This window comes from Homo sapiens, chromosome 2 (assembly GCF_000001405.40).
Source record: "Homo sapiens chromosome 2, GRCh38.p14 Primary Assembly".
Taxonomy (NCBI): domain Eukaryota; kingdom Metazoa; phylum Chordata; class Mammalia; order Primates; family Hominidae; genus Homo; species Homo sapiens.
Genome location: NC_000002.12, coordinates 110,736,472 through 110,754,285, shown reverse-complemented (window position 1 = coordinate 110,754,285; position 17,814 = coordinate 110,736,472). Strand labels below are relative to the sequence as shown.

General features: G+C 44.2%; 1 protein-coding gene across 27 annotated transcripts in view, besides 2 other annotated features; it reads right to left on the bottom strand.

The window, feature by feature from the left end:
• Positions 1-17,814, bottom strand: part of ACOXL (acyl-CoA oxidase like) — a 385,976-nt gene that overhangs the window by 364,263 nt on the left and 3,899 nt on the right. The window contains exon 1 of one of the 27 annotated variants that reach the window (XM_011511406.4): positions 6,286-6,512. The exons of the other annotated variants lie outside the window; for them this stretch is intronic. The gene's annotated coding sequence lies outside the window, so the exon portion shown is untranslated. Of the gene's footprint in view, positions 1-6,285; positions 6,513-17,814 lie in introns of those variants that run through there. 27 annotated transcript variants of the gene reach the window in all.
• Positions 1,025-1,526: an enhancer, noted in NCBI's record as "NANOG-H3K4me1 hESC enhancer chr2:111510337-111510838 (GRCh37/hg19 assembly coordinates)". NCBI's record gives its function as "activates a minimal SCP1, AML or CMV promoter by ChIP-STARR-seq in primed H9 embryonic stem cells {active_cell/tissue: H9 hESC(primed)}" and the evidence as "EXISTENCE:reporter gene assay evidence [ECO:0000049][PMID:30033119]".
• Positions 5,542-5,801: an enhancer, noted in NCBI's record as "active region_16374". NCBI's record gives its function as "activates an Ori minimal core promoter by ATAC-STARR-seq in GM12878 lymphoblastoid cells {active_cell/tissue: GM12878}" and the evidence as "EXISTENCE:reporter gene assay evidence [ECO:0000049][PMID:35858748]".

Sequence of the window (17,814 nt, the reverse complement as noted above, 5' to 3'; positions counted from 1 at the left end):
AGCCCAGCAACACAGCTAGGCCCCTTCTCTACAAAAAATTTAAAAATGGCCCAGGTATGGTAGTGCATGTCTGTAGTCCTAGCTACTTCGGAGGATGAGGTGGGAGGATTGCTTGATCCCAGGATGTTGAGGCTGTAGTGAGCCAAGATCATGCCACTGCACTCCAGCCTGGGTGACAGAGTGAGACCCTATCTCAAAAAAAAAAAAAAAAAAAATTCACAGAACTACACACACACACACACACACACACACACGTGTGCATGTGCAAGAGGATATATAAATGACCAGCAAGCACACGAGAAAGTGCTCAAAATCATCAGGCATCATAGGAATGCAAATTATAGCCACAATGAAATAATAATATGCACCTACTCAAATGGCTAAATTTTTAAAATAATGACAACACAAAATTTTGACAAAGACGTGGAGCAATTATAACTGTCATACTTTGTCATAAAAATGTAAAATGGTACAACCACTTTGGAAAAAGATCTCATAGATTTCATAAAATTAAACAGATACCTATCCCATGACCTGACAATTACATTCCTAGGTATTTATCCAAGAGAAATAAAATTACATGCCCACACAAATTGTCATAGAAGAATGTTCTTATCAGCTTTATTCATAATAGCTCCAAACTAGAAACAGCCCTGGTGTCCATCAATAGAATTGGTAAACTATGATCTATTCAGAGGATGGAATGCTACTTAGCAATAAAAAGGAACATACTGCTGATACACAATAAATGACATATATTAACCTAGGAAACATTGTACTGTGCTCTTGTGGGTCACTTGCTCTGGAGGAAACCAGTTGCCAAGATGTGAGGACACTCAAGTAGCCTTATAAATAGTCCACCTGGAGAGGAACTGAGGTCTCATTCCAATAGCCCTGTCAATGAGTGTATTAGTCCACTTTGCATTGCTATAGAGGAACATCTGAGACTGGGTAATTTATAAATAAAAGAGGTTTATTTGGCTCACAATTCTGCAGGCTGTACAAGCATGGCATCAGCATTTGCTCGGCTTCTGATGAGGCCTCAGTGAGGGTTTCTACTTCTACTCATGGTAGAAGTAGAAGGCAAAAGGGGAGCAGGTGTGTCACATGGCAAGAGAGGGGGTAAGAAAGAGAGGAGGAGGTGCCAGAGTCATTTAAACAACCAGCTCTCAAGTGAACTAATAGAGTGAGAACTCACCACCAGCAGGAGGTCAGCACCAAGCCATTCATGAAGAATTTGCCCCCATGACCCAAACACCTCCCACTAGGTCCCACCTCCAACATCAGGCATGAGATTTGGAAGGGAAAAACATCCAAACTATATCAATGAGCCATTGTAGAAGTGGCTCTTCCAGCCCCAGTCAAGCCAGGGCCAACATCCTAAATGCAACCTTATGGGAGAGCCTGACCCAGCGCCACCCAATTAAGACACTGAAATTCCTGACCCACAGACACTGCGTGAGACAATATATATTGGGGTTTAAGCTGCTAAATTTTGGAGTAATTTGTTACATATCAGTAGATAGCTAATACACACAGTAGTGTCATGCACACACACAAAATTGACGGACATGACAAGTATCTTATTTTTAAAGCACTGTAGCAACATACAATGCAACAAGAACAGAGGCATGAGTCGTAAATGTACAGCCCAGTGAATTATCGCAAAGTAACTTCAACTGTGTAATCCACACCCAAGCCAAGGAAAATCACATTCCAGGACCAGCATACAAGATCCCCCTCAATCACTACTTTCTCTCTCCGAAAGTGCTAGCTGCTATCCTGCCTTATAACTTCATAAATTATTTTTTACTTCTTTTATTTATTTATTTTGAGACAGGGTCTCATTATGTTGCCCAGGCTTGTCTTGAACTCCAGGCCTCAAGCGATCCTCCTTCCTCAGCCTCCCAAGTAGTTGGGACTATAAGTACACCAACATGCCCAACGTATTTTTTGTATTTTGAATATTAAAGAAATAGGCCAGGTGCGGTGGCTCACATCTGTAATCCCAGCACTTTGAGAGGCCAAGGCAGATGGATAACCTGAGGTCATGAGTTCAAGACCAGCCTGGCCAATATGGTGAAACCCTGTCTCTACTAAAAATACAAAATTAGCCAGGTGTGGTGGCACATGCCTGTAGTCCCAGCTAGGGAGACTTGCTTGAACCCAGGAGGCAGAGGCTGAAGTGAGCCAAGATCGTGCCATTGCACTCCAGCCTGGGCGAGACAGAGCAAGACTCCATCTGGAAAAAAAAAAAAAAAAGAAGAAGAAAGAAAGAAAGAAAAGAAATGGGATTATCTACTATGTATTCTTTTGTGTCTGGCTTCTTTCACTTAGCAATGGCTAATTAAGAGTCATCTTTAGTATCTGTTGTAGTTGTGGTTCATTCATTTTCATCGTTATACAAGATTAAATTGAATTAATATACCACTAAAATATGTTGAGTCAACAAATTGTGTGATTCTGATAATAAGTTCTAAAACAGACAAAACTAACCAATACTGGGGTGAAAAACACACACAACCGTGGTTACCTCCAGGAGGGTGGAGGCAAGGGTTGACTGGCAAGGGTATAAGAGAACTTTTTGGGGCGATGATAATGTTCTATGTATTTTGATAGGGGTTGGGTTACATAGGTGTATATATTTGGCAAAGCCCTGAGAATGTACACTTAAGATTTTTGCATTTCATTGTATGAAGTTCTACAGCAAATGAAAAAGATCTGGCATGTATTGAAGTCTTCTTAGCAGTATGCACACTGAGTTATTTAGGGGGAAGAATATTTATGTTAGTAATTTTGAAATGCACCCAAAAACCCAAAAATGGGATATGGTGAATAGAGAGATCAATAGATGGGCAAATACGTGATAAAGCAAGTATAGTAGCATGTTAATGCCAGAATCTAGGTAGTGGATATAAAGATCCTCAATGTCAAGGTCTTCCCATTTTTGTGCATGTCTAAATTTTTTTTTTTTTTTTTTTTTTTTTGAGACGGAGTCTCGCTCTCGCCCAGGCTGGAGTGCAGTGGCACGATCTCGGCTCACTGCAAGCTCCGCCTCCCAGGTTCACGCCATTCTCCTGCCTCAGCCTCCCAAGTAGCTGGGACTACAGGCACCCGCTACAATGCCTGGCTAATTTTTTTGTATTTTTTTAGTAGAGATGGGGTTTCACCATGTTAGCCAGGATGGTCTCAATCTCCTGACCTCATGATCCGCCTGCCTCGGCCTCCCAAAGTGCTGGGATTACAGGCGTGAGCCACCGCGCCCAGCCGCATGTCTAAATTTTTAAATATAAAGTGTTGGGGCCAGGCATGGTGGCTCACACTTGTAATCCCAGAACTTTGGGAGGCCAAGGCAGGCGAATCGTTTGAGCTGAGGAGTTCAAGATCAGCCTGGGCAACATGGCGAAGCCCCATCTCTACAAAAAATACAAAAATTAGTGGGGCACCTGTAGTCTCAGCTACTCAGGAGGTTGCAGTGGGAGGACCACTTGAGCCTGGAAGGTCAAGGCTGCACTGAGCCAGGATTGTGCCACTGCACTCCAGCCTGAGCAACAGAGCAAGATCCTGTCTCAAAAAAAAAATTATACATATATATATATATACACACACACACCCATACACATACACACACAAATATATGTGTATTTGTTTATATATAATATGTATATGTTTATATATAATATGTATAATATGTAATGTATATATATGTATATATATAGTAGTGGAAAAAAGTAGATGATCAGAAATGGAATTATGGTAGGGCCATTGTTTTCTTAAGTAAGAACTTTGTGCACAAAAGTTGGTTTCTAAATACCGTTCTCAAATAAAAGAAACTAGGGCTCCTTGGATAAATGGCTGATTCTAGGACAGGGGCAGGGAAAATATAAGATGAGCCCGAAACTCCCAATGGCCAAAGCTGGAACAATTTGAGCAACAAAAATGTGCTGTTAGATTGTAACCCAAAATATAAAATAAACATGTTAGTCTATACTGATATAAGTAAATGATTTAATAAATAAATACATGGGGGAAAGAGATCAACCTCCTATAAGAAATAATTTGTGTAGATACTCTCTCCTCCAGAAAATGGAGCTTAACTAGCCCCACCTACCCACTCACCCAACTTGAATGTTGGACAGATTGAATGACTAGTTTCCAGAGAAGGAAAAGGTAACTGTACAGTGGAGAAACCTGACAAGCACTACAAACATCACCAGGGATAAGCCATGTCGATGGAATGTACTCACTAATACGATGTGATGCTCAGGATATTCTTCCCAACACCCATAATTCCAGTCTAGTCATACGGAAAACACAGACAAACCCAAATTGAGAGACATTTGACAAACACCTGACCAGTACTCTTCAAAACAGCCAGGTCATGGAAAGCATGAAAGACAGAGGAACTGTCACAGACCAGGGGACCCTGAGGACGTGTGACAGCAAAACACAGTGTGGCATCCTGGATAGGACCCTGGAGCAGAAATCGACCACCAGTGGGAAAACTAAAGAAATACAAACCAAGTCTAGAGTTTAATAGATGCTGCTTTGTTTTTCTGAGATGCAGTCTCCCTCTGTCACCCAGGCTGGAGTGCAGTGGCGCGATCTCGGCTCACTGCAACCTCCACCTCCCTAGTTCAAATTATCCTCTTGCCTCAGCCTCCAGATTAGCTGGGATGACAAGTGCCCGCCACCGTGCCCAGCTAATGTTTTTGTATTTTTAGTAGAGACAGGGTTTCGCCATGTTGGCCAAGCTGCTCTCGAACTCCTGACCTCCAGTGATCCACCGGCCTCAGCCTCCCAAAGTGCTGAGATTACAGGCGTGAGCCACCCTGTCCGGCCTGTCAATGCTGCTGTCTTCGTTTTGACAAATGTGCTATGGTTGTGTAAGATGTTAACAACAGGGGAGGATATATGGCAAATCTCTGTACTATGCTTTGTAACTTTTCTATACACTGAAAATTATTGCAAAATAAAAAGTTTATTTTAAAAAGAAGGAATAGCCAAGGCAACACAAACAACAAAATGACCTTTGTGCATTAAAAATGAAAACAAAAAGCTGAAACATTTTTAAAAACAGTCTTTGTGCATGGTTTTCTCAAAATCTAAATCAAAAATCAATTTTGATCTAGTGGAAAACACATCTTCAGATACCAAATTTGAATGCCATCATGACCAGGGACACCCTAGGTGTCCACCCTTCGACCACAGAATGATTCCAGGTAGCACAGACATTCTGGAATTAAGCATCAACACGAACTTCAAAATCAAGCTGCTTTCACAGCATGCTCCTGCTTTAATAACCTGCCCCTTTTTCCTGGTCCCTTTTGCAAGTTTGCTTCCAGAAACACCTCCGATTCAGCCTGTGATAATTCCCTACAGCATTCTCTTCTTGTTGAAAACGGCAAGAATAAAAAATGCTTTATGTCCAACACCAACAAGGTGAAACCACGGCCAAGCAGTCACACAAATGACAGGTGGGCATGAAGAACAAATCCCCAAAGGCGGAGAGCAAAGAAACCATCTGCCTTCTAGTAAACACCACAGCTGCATAAACACCGCAGCTGCACCCACAGCTCAACCTCCTACCGCCAAAGCATTCACCCCACTCCCAGGAGCCACCTGCACAGCCTGATGAATTGATGGTGAATGGAAACAGAAACTGTTTAATCATCTTGTGGTAACTGGCAAACACTGCAAGCTCTGAACCAGCAAGGGAGACTGAGAAAATGCGAAGACAGGGCTTTCTAAGTACTGTGGTTTAATTTCAGTTGTGAAGTCACTCAGCCGGGGAAATGTACAGCTGCTAATTGGCAAAGTCTACAAAGGTAGCAGGGAAGAAAGACTCAGGAGATAGAAAAAGGGAGGCAGAGGAAGAAAAGATCCCCTGCACCAGAGATAAAGCCTGATAGGCACTTCCAATCCACCCCCCTGCATCCTGGGCACTCCACGGAGTGCAGTGAGGAAAAGGGACACTCCCTCTCCAGCCTTCCTTTCTCCCATCTTTCCTTGTTTCCTTGCCTCCTTACTTAAGTTTTCATTAGGCACCTGCACCACGCTAAGTAGGAAGAATCCAAGATACCTTGGCCCATTCCTCTCCTCAGAGAGCTCAGACTCTAGCATAGAAGACAGAGGAGCAGGAGTGTCCCACCAAGACAGGGAGAGAAATTTTTCACATTATCACTAAGCCCCACGTGGCCAGGGCTCTGCCGCCTCACAGGGGATGGATGGCATGGTTGTTTTCTGCAGAAGAAAACCTTTAGTGCAGCAACTACCTGTACTTACTGTCAGGATGAGCTGCAGGGGTGGCAAGAAGACAGAGTGAGAACCATATTCCTCTGCAGATGCCAATAAGAGGGGCATATGTGGGCAGAGAGAGGAGGCCCCCAGGAGGAGAGAATGGGGAGGAGGTGGTAAGGTAGAAAGGGCTGGAAGGGAGCAGACAGGAAGTAAAGGGAGAAACAGGACCACATGAGCAGAGATGCAAACAGATATAACCTCCTAAGACAACAACACAAGCCATAAAAAAAACACAAAAACATTTCTTCACTAGGTAAAGGTATGTCGGTTTTGGCAGACACTGCTGGTGGCTCTTCCTCCCCTGCCAGGATTCTGAGGTAGGTCACTCCACTGCCCAGCCCCAGGGCACGTCTGATTGACTCAGGTCATCACAGGGTCCCAACCTCCAGGAAAGTGATCAGCTTAGAAATGAAATTTGTTGCTTGAAACGAGGACGGTTATTTTTATAGTGTGAATTTAGGAGACACTGTGGCTAGAATGGCACACGAGAGGCTAGCTGAGAAAACAAAAGTGGGTGTGCAGCCCCAGCTGTTAAACACACCAGAGGATGCACCCAGTCCTGTGGCCAATGGATATAACCAGGCCTGACTCCCTCCTGAGGCTGCACTCTGCCCATGGGATGGCTGAGTCTGCTGGCTTGCAGGCTCCTTGTTTCTGGCTGTCGTTTAAATATGATGCAATTGGTCACCCAAAGGATGTCTCTAGTTGTTAGAAACAAACTCACCCATCCAAACCCAAAGAATGGACTCAGAGACCCAGAAAACAGCCAAAGTGAGACTTTTAATGACAGTCTTGTAAGATCAGGCGTCTGATAGGCAGGCAGACCCAGCACAGTTTCAACAAGCAATTCATCCCCTAGTGTGCAGGTCCCTCCCCCAGTTCCTCATAGGTTGAGTACTATGGGGTCACAATCTTCCTGGATGTCACCAACTGATTGTTGGGTAGGGGCTTTAGATGTCTTTTTTAGGGTTCTTTTGCTGCATTTTATTTCAGCCCACAGTACATTGCAATCCTAGTTAGCTCAGGGCTCTTCAAGTACATTTGACTTATGACCTAAGTAGCTGGGCAGGCTGATAAGAACAGATAAAGTGAGCTATTTTGGAGACTAGTAAGCTTTCATCTTAGACTAAACTTTTTTGGTTCAGGTGAAGGCAACTAAAGGGCGGGGGGAGAAGAGGGGGAAAGGGGGAGGCCGACAAGCAGGCATCCGCTATTTAAGCAGGGGCCTAGTATATCCTGTTTCTTCGGTAGTTCGCTGACCTAAGTCAATTTAAGGCACTTTGTCTTGGAAAGAGACCACTGTATACATTATTTCCTTCATGGTGGAGCGTGACTGTGCACCAATTCTGCAGGCGTCTACGGTGCAAACTCATCGTCTTCAACAACAAATCCATTCGACGTACATGTGGAGGAAGCCCCCTCATGGAGGCAGGCAACATGCCCAGGAGCCGGGTCCCATGCTGGAATCTGGGAGCCACTCATGCACTTACTTGTCCATTTACAAGTAAATGGGAAGTAGGAAGGTGGACATGGCGATTCCCTCAAGGGCCAACTACAATCTGAATTGTAGTTGGATCTTGGGGTCTGAGATCACTTAGGGACAAAGGAAAGGTTGAGTCAATATTCTCCCATGGCTATCAGGAGGGGCAGAGAGAACAGCCAGGGATCTGGGGGTCTCAGTGATTTCTGCAGCATTCACAATAAGCCCATAGACACTGTTGAAAAAAAACAGAGGTTTGCATATGTTCCGTAAAGGCATTGTTATGAAGAGAAGGACGGCAATCGGAGTCCCCTGCTCAGCTCTGCAGTCAACATCTGTCTACAGCTGTAATCTGGGTAAGCACCATTCTCAACTCCTGGTCTCAACCCATGGGCAAAGCTTTACTTGTAGAGTGAGAACAGAGTATAAATCTTGCCAGCCTTGACGTTGTAAGGTAGAGGATACAGAGAAGAGACTTAAAGAGAAGAGATACTATCAACACTCAGTGCAACAGGGTAAAGAAAAATAAAAATGATACACACTAACAGGAGGTGACAGGAGACTCTCCAGTCCCCTTGCAGGAAAAGAAAGGGGCAGAGGTGGCTGCTTTCCCTGACTATGGTGCAGATCAAAGTTCTGCACTCTCAAGACACAGTAAGAATGACTTTAGCTAGAAAACCAGTCCAGGTTTCCTCAGAATTGCAGCCACTTTCAGAAGCAGTGAGGAATGGGTATTGATGACACTTCATCTCTTTAGTCAGACATTGGTTCCTTGCACGGGTAATATTTTCATTTGGAATCAGTCGGCAAGCGTCTACCCAGAAAAACAAAAATATTGCTGATCTTCAGATCAAAGTCACAGAAAAGGAAGGTAGTAGAACCCCCACTAACTTCCCATTTAAGGCAGAAATGCCTGACCTGTGGCTTCCCGGGCTCTCTTCTGTGACATTACTTCAATCACTAGAATGGTCCAGAGACTAAGGGAAAGCATCTGCTGTCCCTTCCCCGAGCTACATCACCCATTTTCCCTTGCAGACACCCACTCCCTCTGCCCAAACTACATGATGCTGGTTGTTGACCCCCCACCTTCTGGTGTGGGCAGACACTGACTAGACTGGGCCAATCCTTGCTCCTGGCCCCAGTGACCACTGCAAGGAAGAGCAATGGCCAGCTGGGTTGGTCAGGCTGAAAACCAAAAAGGGTCCCTCTCTTCCTGCCTGGCTGCTGAGCTGTTGCACATGTGCCATAGCTCTGAAGGCCACGAGGTGGACAGGGCCTGTCTGGACAGGAAGAGAGCAGGTCAGGGGATTCCTGAAAGTGCCACCCAAGCACCTGGATTCCAGCCTCCACACCTGAGGCCAATGTGAGCTGCATTTCTGACTCTGCAACTGAAACAGGAGCAACTACTTATGCTAATAACAGTGCTTAGGGTTGCAAGCAACAGAAAACCAACTCGCATTAACCTGAACGGTAAAGGGCAGTTGCTACCTCAGGGAACTGGCAAGGCAAACTTGGGGCAGGCTTCAGAGCAGGTTTGATTCTGAGGCTCAAGTGTGTCCTAGAACTTAGTGTCTGTCTACTCTGCCTCCATGGGCCACTTCATCCTAGAGGTGGTCTCCCTCAAAATGACAAAATGGCTGCACCAGGGCTAGCTTCATACTCAAACTCCACCCTCTCCAAGATGAGAGAGTATGCCCCTCTGACAGATCTCGCAAGTAAGCAAGGAAGTGTCTTTTGCCGGCACACCAAAAAACCTCCTCCCCTCCTATTTCATTGACTACAGTCAGGTCACATGACTGTTTCTGAACCAACTCCTGTGGCCAGACGGTGGCTATGCCTGAATGGCTTCCTCCAGGGTTTACAAGATAGGTCCTATGGCAAAGTGTGGGAGGAGTGTGAAGTGACTGGTCAACTGTGGGAGAAGGTTGTAGGTAATGTAGGGAGGGGACGTGAAGTAAGGACAAGTGCTTACCTCACTGATACTGTGCTTGATGAGGAAGCAAAAGAAATTACCACCAGCTCACCATTTTCTTCACCTCAAATTCCTTTGAGAAGGGAATGTCTCATATTACATTAGCACACATAACATATAATGTCAAACCCTGCAGATCCCACCTCCTAACTCTGTCCTCTCTACATTTTTTGCCAAAATAATTCCCTTTCTAAACTTTATTACTGCCACCTTTAATAGTCAAGTAAATTATAAGACATAAAAAATCATGCCACCAACTATGTTCCTTGGGCCCAGAGCACCTTGAGGGTAAAGTGGGACCACTGGGTCTCTTGGCCTTTTACAAGCAAGAGTTTTAATGCACTTCGCTGAATAGTGCTCTCTTGCACTCTTTCCCTCGTTTTCTCTCTCTTCTCTCTCTCTTTCTCTCTCTCTCTCTTTCTCCACTGAGCAGGTATCAGCCAGAGTTCTTTGGCTGCAGACAGGGCACAACTAGGAGGCAGGGCCTAGGTGTGGGACATCTGCTGCAGGGTGCAGGGTCAGTGCCTGGGGGGCCCCAGAGGCAGCACCCCAATTGTACCCAGCAGAAGGAGAGCCCCCTAAAAGGACTGAGCATTTTACTTCAAGAGGAAATCACAGGATAGAACAGAAGGTGCTGTCTGCTGCCCCAAGTCAGCCAGTGGGATTTCACTGGGAGGAGCAGAAGAGGAGAAATGTGTAGGCACATTCACAAGAATAGAAATCATCCCTGTGGTGATGTGGCAGCTCCGGAAGGCACCACAAGGGAAGGCAGGTGAGGGGAGTTCTAAGGGCTAGGAAAAATTCTGAAAGCCTTGGGCGGAGACACAGAAATTATGGATGATCTCAAAGAAATGGTGCAAAGTGCTCTGAATGGTGCATTGGTCCTTCCGCCAGCCTCAGTCCTGGTCAATCGAGGATCCCGTGTCCCACCAAAGGCCTGGCAGCACTGAATGACCTCCACCCGGCCCTCCTCCCTGAGTCTCTGAACTTGGGTTTGTTTTTTTCCAAACCCTTGCACCCTTATTTCATGATGTTAGTTACTGGAAAAATTAGTAAATTTTTGGAAAATAAATCAGAACAGTCACTATGCAAGTTTAAGAAAAGAGAACATATTCTAGAAAAAAATGTAGGGACTGGGTAGCCAAAAGGCTCAGCCCCACTGCCACTTTCCCATGTGGCCTGGGACAAAACAAACTGTAAGAGACTTCACCTGTGTTTTTAAATATAGGAAATTATCTGCCTGATATATGCATACAACACAGCACTATTCAACCACAAAAAGAATTGAAGTATTGGTATTACATAGTTGATAGGTTTGGAAGTACACAGCTAGAATGAAACTCAAAAGCATGCTAAGCCACCAGATACAAATGGTCACCTATTATAACCTTTTATATGAAATGTCCAGAATACACAACTCCATGGAGACAGAAAGTAGATGGTGGTTGCCAGGGAAATAAGTGAAGGGTGAAAGGGAGTGATTCTTTAATAGGTACAGTGTGTTTTTCTGGGGTGATGAAAATGAGATAGAAACAATGTTTCCAAAACATTGAGAACACACTAAATGCCACTGAATTGTACACTTTAAAATGGTTAGTTGTATGTTATGTGAATCTCCCCTCTTCTAGTTTGATGCAATCTCATTTATCTATTTTAGTTTTTATCGCCTATGCTTTTGGGATCATATCCAAAAAATCTTTACCCAAACCAATGTCAAGAAGCTTTTTTCCTGTGTTTTCTTCTAGTAGATCTACAGTTTCAGGTCTTAAGTTAAGTCTTTAATCCATTTTGAGTTATCTTTGTATGCACTCAAACAATTTTAGGATGCTATTACTATTGAGAGTTCAGGAAAGCCCCAAGCCTTGGTGTGATAGAAAAGAAAACTAGAGAATTCCCCAAATTCACCCACCTTCTGTCCTTCACTTTTCACGGCCCATGTTGTAGAAGTGGTTGCAGCACTCAGACAAGTGTGGTGACGAAGGGCCCCAGGAGCTCTGCCACCCAATGGCATCAGGATCCAAGGTGTCAGGGACACCAAAACTTTCCTCCCATCCAGGAAAGCAAGTTATTAATATAACAATATATCACCCCAAAATTTCTTGCCAAGGAAAGAAGAACAAGAAGGAAAATTTTCCTTACACATAGTCAACAATATTTTTTCTAGTGTACAATTATTCATTTAAGGTTGAGGAAAGTGATCTAAGAGGTTGACAATGCCCCTTAATAAAGTCACATGTCAGAGTACAGAGCAGCACTACAATAATTGTCTTGATGCTGGACCTGGGAGGAGATGGTCTCCAAATACTTAAAAAGCCTTTACAAAATTACCCATATCAAAAACATGCTTTGTTCTCCTATGACTTGTGTTTAAATCCACATACTGTCACGATTTTAGCTGGTGGATGTGTGTAAGACAAGACAGCAATAGCTGTCCCCATCCCTGGGACCCTCTCCTCACCGTGCTGTTTCCTTCCAGGACTGAAAGCTGTGCTAAATGTCTCCCTATTTTAACACAGTCAGGGGGCACAGAGTCTGACAGGGACTGGAAGAATTCTATCCCTTGCAGGTTTGTGAGACTCGCAAGAAAACGTGCAATCACCTCTCCGCCTCTCTCCTCTCTCACCGCTGGAGGCAGACACTTGGAAAACCACCAGCCCACCCCCTGCCCCAACTCCCTCACCATTCTCCAGTTTGTGTTTTCTCTGAGTGCTTGCGTGCAAAAGCATGGTAGGAAACCACAGATAAGAGATTGGTTAAACCAAATTCCTTAGGATCCCTCCCAGCCCTGAGGGTTTTGACTTCCTACCTCTTCATACCTGCCCATCTACTCAGCACAGGCTCTCTGAGATGTTACTCGATGACAACCACTGTGCTAGGCTTGGGGATCCAGCACTTCTCAAGAAATGACTTTCCAGTTGAGGTCAGAGGTAGGGAGTTTCTATTTAAATGTATAAAACTCTGTTTTATACACACACAAACACGCGGGTGCACGTGTAACTTCTTGTTCTTACTCTGTCACACTCACTGTGTGTTACAAGCTGAATAGTGTCCCCCGCTCCCCCTAAAAATTCAGATATTGACTGGTGTCCTTCTAAAATTTGAAGACAGACAGGTACAGAGGGAAGACCATGTGAAGACAGGAAAAAAGACAGCCACCAACAAGCCAAGGAGAGAGGCCTGCAGCAGATTCTCCCTTGCAGCCCTCAGAAGCAACCAACCCTGCCGACACCCACTGACACCTTGATCTTGGATTCTCAGCCTCCGGAACTCTGAGACAATACATTTCTGTTATTTAAGCCACCTAGCCCGGGTACATTATTACGGCAGCCCTATTAAGCTGACGCAACACCATAATACTCCAGATAAACACACTGGAAATCACTGCTTGAGGAATCGGAAGCCCAGAGGTCCTATTCTTGGCTTTGCCACTCCAAGCCACTCCACATCCCAGGAATGCCTGGGATATTTACATATTTTAATAGAGAAAAGAGAATGACACTTGAGTAAGTCACTTCCTCCTTAAGCCTTTGTTTCCTCCTTCAAAAAAGGGCAAGATCCCCTCCAACATGAACAGCTTGTATTTCTGTGGCCCCTAGACAGGACCAAGGACAACTGTCCACGTCAGCCACAACCTAACAGTGTTGTCACTGTGAAAAATCCCCATGTCCCAACATTCAAACACGCTGACATCCCAGTGTCCCACCGGACCTGGCCACATTAGACTGTAGCTTCCAAAGGACAGGGCCAGTGGATTCCCCACTATCAGGTCCCTAAATGATGGCTGACAGGGATCCTGTCCCAGGCTGTATCATGGAGCATCCTTAGCTCTCTCAACTGCCTATCTAGAGGTCTGGACCCTACATCCAATAAATGCTCATAAAACTTAACATTCAAGTTTACAAATACAAAGGCATATTTTACACATTAAAAACCTATGATTTGCCAAAATCTTTTTGTGCTCCTTTGGAGACTTGAAATTCTGGGAATGGCAGAAAATAGGATGTCTGGGATATTTATGTATGTTAATGGGGAGAAGAGAATGCCAAAAGTGACTGTGGGGCTGCAGGCTGCCAGTGTCATAGGTCAGTCATGGTTCATGTGCTGCAGAAGCTCCTGGGAGCCAGGGCCCACCTCACCACTCACCGGCCCATCTCCAGGGCCTGACACAGTATCTCAAATGATGAAGAGATGAACACTGGGATTTAGATTAGGCTCTACACGCCCACAATTAAACTGGATTTGAAATTGCCTGATATAGTCTTGGGAGCAATAAAACTGGAGCCTTTGGAAGATAATCTGGCAATATTGGTCAGCGTTTTCCATGCAGATACCTCTGTCCCATCGGCATCACCTCTAGAACCTAATCCAGAGAAATCTCTTCTTATGAATACGAGGGTACTCCCTGCAGCATTGTTTAAGATAACACAAACTGAACATGACCTGAGTGTCCTTTGATGGGGCATGGCATAATTAAATTTGGTACAATTGTTACTGATGCAGCTTTTAAAAGAATGAGACAATCCTTTCTACACTAACACATAAATACAGGTCTACAAGTTCTGGATATCAGAACATATTTAAACAGGGATATTCAATAATAAAATGATTTATGGCATAAAACCACGTGGACCAACCAAGAACTCAAGAGAAACTGACATTCCACGAGGGATAGCAGCAACACACTGTCACCTAGACAGTGAACAGGCAAGTGGTAACTCACTTAGCAGAACAGAGGATGCTAAGTCTACAGGGCTGACGGAGCCAACTAGCTGGTGCCACTGGGTTGTATAAATGCTTGGGAAGTGGAGGCTCCATGCACCTCTGAAAGCAGCTGCATCCTCAAGTCCCCTCTCCAAGTCCATCAAAGCCTGAGGGTTTACTGTTAGGAGAGGGTGGCATGGGAGGCTAACTGTGGGACCCACATGGGGAACACTGGAGCCAGTAGGAGACCCCTCAGTGAGAGCCACCACTTACCAATGCACAGGGTGCAGCCAATCATGTGGGGTGGCCTCCATGCTGTGGACACCCTAGACCATTTCCCAGAAGATGGCATCAAGTGATTTGTTCTAACAAAATCAGGTATACAAATGCAAGTCTTGAGAAAGGAGGATGGTTTTCTAACCAGCCTCACGTTGTGCATGGAGAGCCTGGGGCCTCCAAGGTCTCAGGAAGGAGGATTAGGATCTGCCCCTCATTCTCCACCCATCCACCTCTCAGGAGACTAAAAGATTCATCACTGGAGGAATTAACCCTGTCCTAAACAAAACACCAATACTGATCTGCCAAAGGAAGTTACTCTGTGATCAAGAAAGCCCGGGCCCAACAAACCCCGCCATTTGCAACCAGCCTTCTATTCACATTTCCCATATTGTGAACAAACATCCATGACTGACCTGACATTTAATGAAAGCCTCAAACATAAAAAAGGTCAAAAATACAAATGGAATAAAGGAACTCAAAGAAAACAGAGACAAAGCAGAGAATAGAAGGGAACACTTCAAAACTTACTATCAACTATTCTGAAAAATAAGAGATTTTTATAACTAGAAAACAAGAACAGATGCTGTTGAAAAAGGAACAGAGAACTTTTGAAAATTAAAAATATGACAGCAGATATTTAAAAATAACTCAAGAAGAGTTGGAAGATAAAAGTTGAGAAAATCTCACCAGGACACAGAACCAAAAGACAAAGAGATGGAAAATAAAAAAGGAAGGAAAAATATTAGAAGACAAGGCAAGGAGGTACAACATCTGAGCAAAAGGAGTTCCAGATGACAGAACAGTACAGATAACTGAACACAAGTTTCCATATTAAAAGGGCCCACTGCATGCCCAATGCACTAAAAGAACCCATGTCAAGCCACCCCATCATGAAATTCTATAATACAACAATGCCAAAAAGAAGCTTCCAGTAGGGAGGGACAAAAACAAGTCATATATAACAGATCAAGGTGCAGAAAGGGTCAGATTTGTTCATTGCAATGTTGGATATTGGAAAGTTATGGCATGCACCTTTAAAAATCTAAGGAAAATTTTATTTCCAGCCTAGAACTCTACACCCACAAAAACTTTCAGTCAATTGAACAGTAAACATTTTCAGACATGAAAATCTTTAAAAATCTCGAAAAGTTAATTCCCAGGTACCCTCTCTTAGGAAGCTATTAGATAAGAGACTGTTTTGGTTATCTATGGCTATGTAAGACTGCACCCAAAACTCGGAAAGTTAAAACAACAGTGTGTTATTATTCCATGGAATGTGGACAGGAAACAAATAGGGATGGCTTTTCTCTGCTTTCCAGTGTCTGAGTTCCCATCTCAGAAATAGCTGTCTGCTGAAGCAGTTGGGAATGTTAGCATCTCTTTACCTCTCTCTATGCAGCCTCTCAACAGGCATCAGCTTGGACTTCCTCATAGCAATGGCAGCCACAGGCAAGCAGCACTTTTTAAATGGAAGCTCAGGGCCTCAAGAGATGGGAAGTGGAAGGTCCCAGTCTCTTCAGGCCTGAGCCTGGAAACTGTCACACTGTCATCTCAGCTATCTTCTGTTGACCAAAGCAGTCATAAAACTACCCAAGATCAAGGGGAGGCGACACAAACCACACCTCTCAACAGGAGTAGCCTTAATGAATCTGTGGTCCTCTCTAAGCTTCTACAAAGGGTAACCAAGAAAGAGAAAGCCTGGGAAAACAGTGACTTGACCATGGAGGAAATGCAAGGAAAATTCCCAAGGGGGTGGTGAAGACGCAGGAAGAGCCCATCCGGACTGAAGCTGTGGAAGGAGGCCTCCAGAATGAATGTGTCCATGAGGGGCAGGAGGGGTGGAACTGCCAATTACCTGACAGGTTTGATCACAGTGGGACGAGTGGAACTGCTCTGTCCTGTGATAAATCTGTTGTATCTGTTCTGTTTCATATCTGTCTAGTGTGGAGGTCAGTGAGTGATGGGCTTATAGAAAACTAAGCAAATGGATAAAGGAGACAATTATCTCTGAAGAAATAAAAAGGTTGTGACAGAAGGAAATAAAATATGGTACACTGTGGGGCATGGCTGGAAACAGTATTTTTATAGCAATAACAATGTGAACACTGGATACTGATTTAAGTAAAAATGGTGATACACTGACTTTCAGAGAATAGGAAAAGGAAAATGGTGCTGTAGTGAGAAACATTCGTTTTCTATAAGAGTAAGCCAGTAGATAACCAAGAGGTGGCTCTTTAGACATGTTACTTAGGAATATGGAGTAAATTACATGAGAATGAAGTAAGAGAATTGAGAGTAGTGGCCCACAAGGAAAAGAAATGAGGGATGAAGAGGGTTGAGGGAGGGCATGGCTGTTTTTCATTACAAACCTCACAGTATAAGTTCATTAAATATTTTCATACATTTCATCAATGAAAATAAGAATTCAATTTCAAAAGAGAAAGCTGTAGAATAAAACACACAGTGAGATCCTATTTATATAACAAAATGATGTGCACATGTGTATATGAACTCCAAGAAAAATAGAAAAATGCGGAAAAACCACACTAACACAACCAAACACACTAAAACAACCACAACAAAGTGGCTGGGGGCCAAATGTCTATCAACAGATACAAGAATGATCAAAATGTAGGCCAGGCACAGTGACTCACGCCTGTAATCCCAGCACTTTGGGAGGCCGAGGCGGGCAGATCATGAGGTCAGGAGATCGAGACCATCCTGGCTAACGTGATGAAACCCCGTCTCTACTAAAAAATACAAAAAATTAGCCAGGTGTGGTGGTGGGTGCCTGTAGTCCCAGCTACTCAGGAAGCTGAGGCAGGAGAATGGCGTGAGCCCGGGAGGCGGGGCTTGCAGTGAGCCGAGATTGCACCACTGCACTCCAGCCTGGGCCACAGAGCGAGACTCCGTCTCAAAAAAAAAAAAAAAAAAGAGTAATCAAAATGTAGTCTATACATACAATGGAATATTATTCAGCCTTCAAAAAGGAGGGAATTTTGACACATGCTACAACATGGATGAACCTCCAGGACATTATACTGAGTGAAGTAAGCCAGTCATAGAAGAACAAATTCTAAAT